This window comes from Homo sapiens, chromosome 20 (assembly GCF_000001405.40).
Source record: "Homo sapiens chromosome 20, GRCh38.p14 Primary Assembly".
Taxonomy (NCBI): Eukaryota; Metazoa; Chordata; class Mammalia; order Primates; family Hominidae; genus Homo; species Homo sapiens.
This window is the reverse complement of record NC_000020.11, coordinates 38,385,986-38,395,123: the sequence shown is the minus strand read 5'-3', so window position 1 is coordinate 38,395,123 and position 9,138 is coordinate 38,385,986. Positions and strand designations below refer to the sequence as shown.

Here is a 9,138-nt window from a genome sequence, read left to right as displayed (position 1 = left end):
TCTTTATTTCAGCTAAAAACCCTCCCACTCTTGAGAGGTTGACTTTAGGTGCCCCTTTATGGATATGGGAAGGGAAGCATGGATAAGGGAAAGTAAGTGTATTCGTTTTCTTGGGCTGCCATAAAAAATACCACAAGCTAGACCAGGCACAGTAGCTCATGCCTGTAATCCCAGCACTTTGGGAGGCCGAGGTAGGAGGATAGCTTGAGCTCAGGAGTTCGAGACTAGCCTGGGCAACATAGGAAGATGCTATCTCTACAAAACACCAAAAAATTAGCTGGGTGTGGTGGCACATGCCTGTAGTCCCAGCTACTCAGGAGGCTGAGATTGGAGGATACTTCAATCCAGGAGGTTGAGGTTGCAGTGAGCCGTGATTGCACCACTGCACTCCAGCCTGCTAGATGACAGAGTGAGACCCTTTCTTAACCACCTCCCCGTCCCCACAAACTGGGTTACTTAAAACAACAAAAATGGATTGTCTCCCAGTCCTGAAGGCTAGAAGTCAGAAGTCAAGGTGCCCACAGGCCATGCTCCCTTTGAGACTCTGGGTGGAATCCTTCCTTGCATCTTCCTAGCTTCCAGCAGCCTCATGCATCCCTGGAATGGCAGCTGCATCAGTCCAATCTCTGCCTCCAGCATCACATAGTTGTCTTCACATCACCTCCCCTCTGCGTGTAGCTGCATCTGTGTCCAAATTTTCCCTTTTTATAAGGACACAAGTCATATTGGATTAGAGCCCATCCTGATGATTTCATTTTAATTTGATTACCTCTATCAAGAGCCTATTCCAAATAAGATCACATTTTGAGGTCCTGGAGGTTAAAGCTTCAGCATATCTTTTTTGATTATTTATTTATTGAGATGGAGTCTTGCTCTGTCGCCCAGGCTGGAGTGCAGTGGTGTGATCTCGGCTCACTGCAACCTCCGCCTCCCAGGTTTAAGCGATTCTCGTGCCTCAGCCTCTTGAGTAGCTGGGACTACAGATGCCCGCCACCACGCCTGGCTAATTTTTATATTTTTAGAAGAGACGGGGTTTCACTATGTTGACTAGGCTGGTCTCAAACTTCTGACCTCAAGTGATCCACTTGCCTTGGCCTCCCAAAGTGCTGGGATTACAGGTATGAGCCACCCCACCTGGTCAGCATATCTTTTTTGGGGGTACCACAACTGAATCCATAGTGAGAAGTAACTACAAATATTGGACTGTTAGATTGACAGGGACTATTTCAGTTGAAACCACCGCACTCTCTACTCGTTCTCTGCAAGACCTCAACCACGTCCAGGCTCTTCAGAAATGGGAAGGTGTTAAGGAAACTCACCAAAGTGTTAAAGTGTAAAGGTCACCTCAACCTGCCAGGGCCTCCCTTCCCTTTGGCCCTTGAGCACCCTGCAAAATGGAGACCCTCAAGGTCCTCTCTTACTTCCTGCTGCCCTGGGTTTCCGCCCTCCTGGGTTAACATTCTGTGGCTCATTTACCTTCCAAGTACCTTTCAAAGCCCCAGTGGGCAGCTTAGAACCATCATCAGTGAGAACAGGGTGAGATATCCTTTGCGGGCGGCTCTGGGATCTGAACAGGAGAAATTAAAGTGAAAGGTGGGGACAGCTGAGCATGCACAGAAGCGCAGTGGCAAGATCTGGAGATAATTAACAGCTGGCTATAAATTGAAGGAGCTATATGATAAAAGCCTAGGGCAGCCCATAACTTGGGAAAAGATTGGATCACTAGGTTAAGTGACAAGAGACTTCAAATCAAATCACCAGATACGTATTAAGTGCCTGACTCAGTACTGCATTGAGCCGTGGGTGATACAAAGACATGTAATATCTGTTTCCTGCCCTCAAGGCAATTATAATCTACTTAGGGAGGTTAGACATAAAACTAGGAGAAATTAGATAGCAAAATATTTAAATAGCAGTTGAAAATACCACATGATCGGTTGCCAATTGAATTGTGGAGCTGAGTTCTGAACAAGGAGAGATTATTTGATTATTTATGGTGTTAGATAGGCACGTATTTTCTTGCTGAGGGAAAGGAAGAGTTAACTGAACAGGGCAAACTAGAAAGTCTCTGGGAGGGGAAGCAGGGGAGAACCCTGACGTCCAAGGAATGTGTTACTAATAATAATAGTTTCCATTTGTTAAGCATTTACTGATTAAGCAACTTACAAACCTTAATATACTTACATACGTTTAAGTAATTCAGTAGTCTCATGGGTTGCTATACTTTCTGTACCAATTAAAACCAACACTAGCTCGTGTTTAATGTTTAAATCCCCAAATCTCAGTGACTGACAGGTTTATTTCTGCTTTTGCAAAGCCCACATGCCACAGTTGGGGATGGGAGAAGCTCTGCTCCATACAATCATTCAGGGACCTAGACTGCTGCTGGAGGCTCTGCCATCTTCAACACATTTATCCCAAGTCACCTTGGGTGTCAATATATCGACATCCAGCTGGCTGAGGGGGGACGAGAGAGAGAGAGATTGAGAGAGAGAGAGAGAGAGAGAGAGACAGAGACAGAGACAGAGAGAGAGAAAGATGTAGTGGGGGATCATACAGGTGGTGTTTATGGATTTGTCAGAACTCAGTCACATGGGCCACAATTAATTGCAAGGGGTGCTGGGAAATGTAGTTCAACCATGTGTCCAGGTGGAAAGAGAAATGGTTCGGTGGACAGCCAGCTAGTGAGACTACTGCACATTTGTGACTTTTTTAGATGTGGAAACTTGGGCTCAGAGAGACCCACCAAGGTCACACAGTGAGTAAAGGGAAGTCATATAGGTATAGTTGATAGAGCACGAAATATGTGTGAATGTATTATCTAAAATTACAAACACACCAATAGAGAAACAAAAAATATTATGTTACATAGTATTTTGAGAGAGGAAAGGAAAATGGGGTGACAAGCTAAGTCCTCATGTACTCAGCAAATTTTTAGAAAATTGGTAAATTTAAAAAATGATGTAGGAACGTTATTTGAGATCTTGAGCTAGCCATCAAAGGAACTAAAACCAGAAACATTTCAGGAATTAAATGTGGTACCTCTGAGACCACTGCTTCTTATGATAAGCCCTTTTGCACATTTGATTTTTTAAAATGTGTGCCTTAATTGCTTTGATATACATTTGTGGCAGGTTGAACAATGGGCTCACCAAAGATGTCCATGTCCTAATTCCCTGAACCTATGAGTATGTTACCTCGCGTGGTGAACGGACTTTGCAGGTGTGATTAAGTTAAGGATTTTGAGATGGGGAGATTATCGTGCATTATTTGGGTGGGCTCAGTGCAATCACAAGGGTCCTTATGAGAGAAAAACAGAAGGATCAGAGTTAAAGAAGATGTAAGGCCAGAAGTAGAGGTCAGAGAGGAGAGAAGATGCTCTGCTGCTGGTTTTGAAGATGGGGGAAGTGGCTGCAGGCCAACGAATGTAAGCAGCCTCTAGCAGCTGAACAAAGAAGGGAACAGATTCTCCCCCAGAGCTTCCTGAAGGAATGCAGCCCTCTTGACCTCCAAAACTAAAAGATAATAAGTTCATGTTGTTTAAAGTTACGCAGTTTGTGGCTAATTTGTTACAGCAGCAATAGGAAATTAATACATTTAAAAATTCATTTTTAAATTAAATTAAATTAAATTAAATTTTATTTTATTTTTTTGTAGAGACGGGGTCCCCCTATGCCACCCAGGATGGTCTCAAACTCCTGGCCTCAAGCAATCATCCCATCCTGGCCTCCCAAAATGCTAGGTGTGAGCCACTGCATTTGGCCAGATAATTTACTTTTAAGGAGTAGTATTTGCTTGCTTAAAAATATACAAATAATGTACAATGGCACAAAAAGGAAAGTAAAAATTTTGCAGCCTTACCAATGCTTCATTTCCATTCTCCAGAGGTAACTTCTGTTTCACTATCTTAGGTAACCTCTTAGCAATTTCCTGTACACATATAAGCATGCATGCATGAAAGAAGATAATACTGTACCTACTGTTCTGCAGTCTACTATTTCCACCTAATAATTCTTCACATTCTTCTATGTCTGCACACATAGATGGGCCTCATTCTTTCATTCTTTTTAATGGCTGCATAGTATTCCTTTGCATGGCTATATACCATAATATAACTACCAGTATCCTATTAAGGACCATACAGGTTTCTTTCATTTTTGTTTTGTTATTATTTTGCTATTACAAGCAATGCCATAATAAGCAGCTGTACACAATGTATATCTTCATATATATGGATGAAAAAAATCTGAAAAATGGTGCTTTGTTTATCGTGAGCAAAGACACTATAAGGAGTCTCATAAATACAGACATACCCTTCAGATAGATACTTTTATTTTGAAGTATAACATATACACAGACAAGTATATGGAGAGACAGATGTTCTCAAAGTGAGCTCACCAATGTAACCAGTACGTGGATCAAGAAGCAGAACATCACCAAAACCCCAGAAGCTTCCTCATATCCTTTTCTAGTTACTATCCCCCACCCCACCTTGAAGTCTGACCACTTGTCTAACTTTTGCTTCTATACGTTAGGTTTGCCTTCTTTTGAATTTTGTATCAATGAAATCATGCCAGGCATCTTTCACTTAGCATCCTGTTTGCAGGGGTCACCCATGTGGTGGCATGTGGTTGTAGTTCATTCATGCTCATTGCTGTTTAATATTCCATTGTGTGAATGTGCCACCATTTATCCATCTACTGTTGCTGAATGTTTGGGTTATTTCCACCTGGGGGCTATTACGAAAACTGCTTTATGGACATACCTGTATGCATCTTTTTTTAAATAGATGTAGGCATTTCTGTTGAGTACATACTGAAAAGTGGAGTTCCTGGGTCATGGGGCTCATCATGCATGTTCAACTTTAGCGGATACATCCTGCCAAACAGTCCTCCAATGGTTGTACCACTTTGCACTCTACTATGCAAATTACAAATATTCTGTGGACTAAGTGTTTATGTTTCAATTCATATGTTTATAGTGGTGAAGAACTGGATGTCTATCAATGGGGGATAGTTGAACAAACTGGGAAATAGTCATCCAGTGGAATATTATGCAGTGGTTTTTTTTTTTAAGAGATAAGATCTCACTATGTTGCCAAGGTTGGACTTGAACACTTGGGCTCAAATGATCCTCCTGCCTTGGCCTCCAGAGTAGCTGAGACTGTAGCCAAAATTCATATGTGGAAACCCTAACTCCCTATGTGATGGTATTTGGAGATGTGTCCTTTGGAAGGTAATGAGGTCATGAGGATGGGGCCCTCGTGATGGGATTAGTACCCTTATAAGAAGAGATACAAGAGAACTTGCTTCCTTTCTCTCTGCTCTCTGACATGTAAAGATACCATGAGAAGATGGTCATCTGCAAATCAGGAAGATGTTCTTTACCAGACACCCGATCTGCCAGCACCTTGATCTTGAGCTTCCCAGCCTCTAGATCTATCAGAAATAAATGTTGGTTGTTTAAGCCACCTAGTCTATGGTAATTTGTTATAGCAGCCCAAACTAATGAGGATACACTCCCACCAACGGGGCACACGCTTTCCATTTATTCCATGTTCTTGCCAACACTTTGATTTTATCTGTGTTTTTCATTTCAGCCATTTGATATTGACTCTTAATGTGGCAGTGCGCAGGGGCAGTTCTTAGAGAACTACTTTTTTTTTTTTTGAGATGGAGTCTTGCTCTGTCGCTCAGGCTGGAATGCAATGGTGTGATCTCGGTGCACTGCAACCTCCACCTCCGGGGTGAGAGCTACTTTTGATTGAACTGCAGGTCCTAGAAAGCTAGCTGTGGGGTGGAAGGGTGGGACTGAAAGCCGGGCTTGATGGGATCTGGAGGATGCAGGTGATAGCTCTGGGCCGAACCCTCCGTTCCAAGGTGGGATGGTGAGAACATTATTTTAAAAACAGCCCACCTGGCCCTGGGATTTCTCCGCTCCGTCTGTACTAATGGCCCCATGAGATCACTTGAGATGGGAGGAAAGCCTTCTCTAAGGGAAAGTAGAGAATTGAGCCCTGGATTCTTTAGTGGCCTCAAGTGGGAAATCGTTTTCTTCTGGCCCATAAAGCAGCCATCTGTTCTGCTGTGTTTTACTACCAGCGTTCCTCTGCGGGCTGGGAGATGCAGGCCCAGCTGGATGCGCTGTGGGGGAATTTACGCACCAGACTCCAGGAGAAATCCCCAGGATGCCTCTACCTTTCCCCTGGCACACCAACTGGGTGCAGCTCCCTAAATCCAGTTAGTCTGAAGGGGACATCAAGCCTGCAGTTAGGGGACAGGCCAGCATCTCAGAAGAGAAGGCTGGACTGGAAACAGGATAATTGGGGATAGTCTTCAAAGTTTTGGAGGCGGACATCCCCTAGGAATGTGAGAACATCTTTTTAAAAACAGCCAGAGGGCAGAAAAAGAGAAGAGGGCCCAGGACTGAGCCTGAGGGACCTTCACAGAGCCCTGCGTTCAGGAGCAGAGCGAAGTCCATTAGAAGACAGGCAGCAGCCTTTGGGAGCATTGCTGGAGGAGTGTGGGGACCAGCCCTGGTGTTATTTTTATTGTGTGAGGAGTCTGAGCTGGGGATGTGTTTCCCTGATGGGGCCTTTTTTTTTTTTTTTTTTTAAGAGTCAGGGTTTTGCTGTGTTGCTCAGACTGGTGTTGAACTCCTGGGCTCAAGCAATCCTTCTGCCTCGGCCTCCAAAGTGCTGGGATTATAGGTGTGAGCCACTGCTCCTGGCCCTGATGGGGAATTTAAATTCTTCAATCACAGCATTCTGATGCCTCTCATTAAATACCAGTCACCCACTAATGTGTCAATGAAGATTTCATTCCTAAAGAAGACACACTAAAGAGGAAAACCTAAACTCTCTTCCTGCATCTGCGATACAAGATCGGTTCTGAAAGGTGTTTGAAACCCTATTATGTAGATTCTGTTGGCTCCCAAGTTCAAAGTAGCCACCAACAAATTAACTGCTATTGCCATCTACTGGGGAGGACTGAGCTGATGACCTTTCTTTCTGGCCCAAGATTTCCTCTGCAGATAATTGGTGACTTCTGATCGTCTACATTCTGCCAATGGATGAAAAACTTTTTCTAAGTTTAAAAGAAACTTTTTTTTTTTTTTTTGAGACGGAATCTCTCTCTGTCACCCAGGCTGGAGTGCAGTGGTGTGACCTTGGCTCACTGCAACCTCTGCCTCCTGGGTTCAAGCAATTCTCCTGCCTCAGCCTCCCACAAAGCTGGGATTACAGGCACCCACCACGACACCTGGCTAATTTTTGTATTTTTTTAGTAGAGACAATGTTTCACCATGTTGGCCAGGCTGGTATCTAACTCCTGACCTCAGGTGATCCACCCACCTTGGCCTCCCAAGGTGCTGGGATTACAGGCGTGAGCCACCATGCCCAGCCTAAAAAAAGATTTAAATGAGCTTTTTATTTTGGAATAGTTTTAGATTTACAGTAAAGGATTTAATAGTTTTAGATTTAAAATACTAAAGCGGACCAGGTGCAGTGGCTCCTAGCACTTTGGGAAGCTAAGGCATGTGGATTGCTTGAGCCCAGGGGTTTGAGACCAGCCTGAGCAACATGGTGAAACCCAGTCTCTACAAAGAACTCAAAAACTAGCTGGGCATGTGGCAAGCACCTGTGGTCCTAGCTACTCGGGAGGCTGAGGTGGGAGGATTGCTTGAGCCTGGGCAGTGGAAGCTGCAGTGAACTGTGATCACACTATTGTACTCCAGCCTGGGTGACAGAGCAAGACCTTGTCTCAGTAAATAAATAAAAAATAATTTTCAATTTCTTTATAAAATTTTTTTTTAAATAATTTTAAATTTGTAAAGGTCATAAAGAGAATTCTCATATATCCTGTCCCCAGTTCCTCTACTGTTGGCTTCTTATATTAATATTACATTTATTATAACTAATGATTGACATATTCTTATTAACCATATAACTTTATCCAAATTTTATTATTTTTTTCCCTAATGTCCTTTTCATTTTCCAGGGTCCCACCCAGGATGCCACACTGAATGTAGTCCTCAAGTCTCCTGAGGCTCCCCTGGGCTGTGCCAGTTTCTCACACTGCCCTTGTTTTTGATGACCTCGACAGTTTTGAGGAGAACTGACCAACAGTTTCTGTAGAATGCCATTGAATTTGGGTTTGTCTGATGTTTTTCACCACGGGTTTTGGGGAGGAAGACCATTGAGTGCCATTCTCATCTCACCATGTCAGAGACACCTACTGTTATGGACTGAATATTTGTTTCCTGCTCAAATTCATATGTTGATATCTAAATCCTCAATAGGATAATATCTGGAGGTAGGGCCTCTGGGAGGTAATTAGGTCATGAAAATGGAGCCCTCATGAATAGAATTAGCACTGTTAAAATAAAAACTTTATTTTATTTTATTTATTTATTTTTAATTTATTATTTTTTTGAGATGGAGTCTCACTCTGTCGCCCAAGCTGGAGTGCAATGGCACGATCTCTTCTCATTCTCACTGCAACTTCTGCCTCCTGGGTTCAAGCGATTCTCCTGCCTTAGCCTCCTGAGTAGCTGGGATTACAGATGCACGCCACCACGCCCGACTAACTTTTGTATTTTAGTAGAGACCAGGATTTGCCATGTTGGCCAGGCTGGTCTCCAACTCCTGACCTCAAGTGATCTGCCCGCCTTGGCCTTCCAAAGTGCTAGGATTACAGGCGTTAGCCACCGCATCCAGCCTAAAGAAAAACTTAAGCTAAATTAAATTTAAAAGAGTTTACTGGAACAAGAACAATTCACGAATTGGCAGCTTCCTGAACCAGAGCAGGCTCAAGAAAGTCCAGCATAGCACGTGGTGGTAAAAGATTTATGGACAGAAAAAGTTAGGTGATGTACAGAAAACGGAAGTGAGGTACAGAAAACGGAAGTGAGGTACAGAAACAGCTAGATTGGTTACAGCTCTATGTTTGCCTTATTTGAACGGTTTAAACAGTTGGCCACTTTTGATTGGCCAAAACTCGGTGATTGGCACAAGAGTAGGGTATGGTCTGTTTACAACTCCATTTAGGTTATAGTTCACGATGTACAGAGGAATCTTTAGGCTGAACTTCAAAATAAGGCAGCTTTACGCTAACCTGGATTAAACAGTGCCATCAGAAG

At 43.3% G+C, this 9,138-nt stretch overlaps 1 annotated feature.

Annotated features, from left to right (window-relative positions):
* Positions 5,663 to 5,864: a silencer, noted in NCBI's record as "fragment chr20:37017902-37018103 (GRCh37/hg19 assembly coordinates)". NCBI's record gives its function as "represses an EF-1alpha promoter that drives an FKBP-Casp9 reporter gene in an ReSE screen in HepG2 liver carcinoma cells {active_cell/tissue: HepG2}" and the evidence as "EXISTENCE:reporter gene assay evidence [ECO:0000049][PMID:32094911]".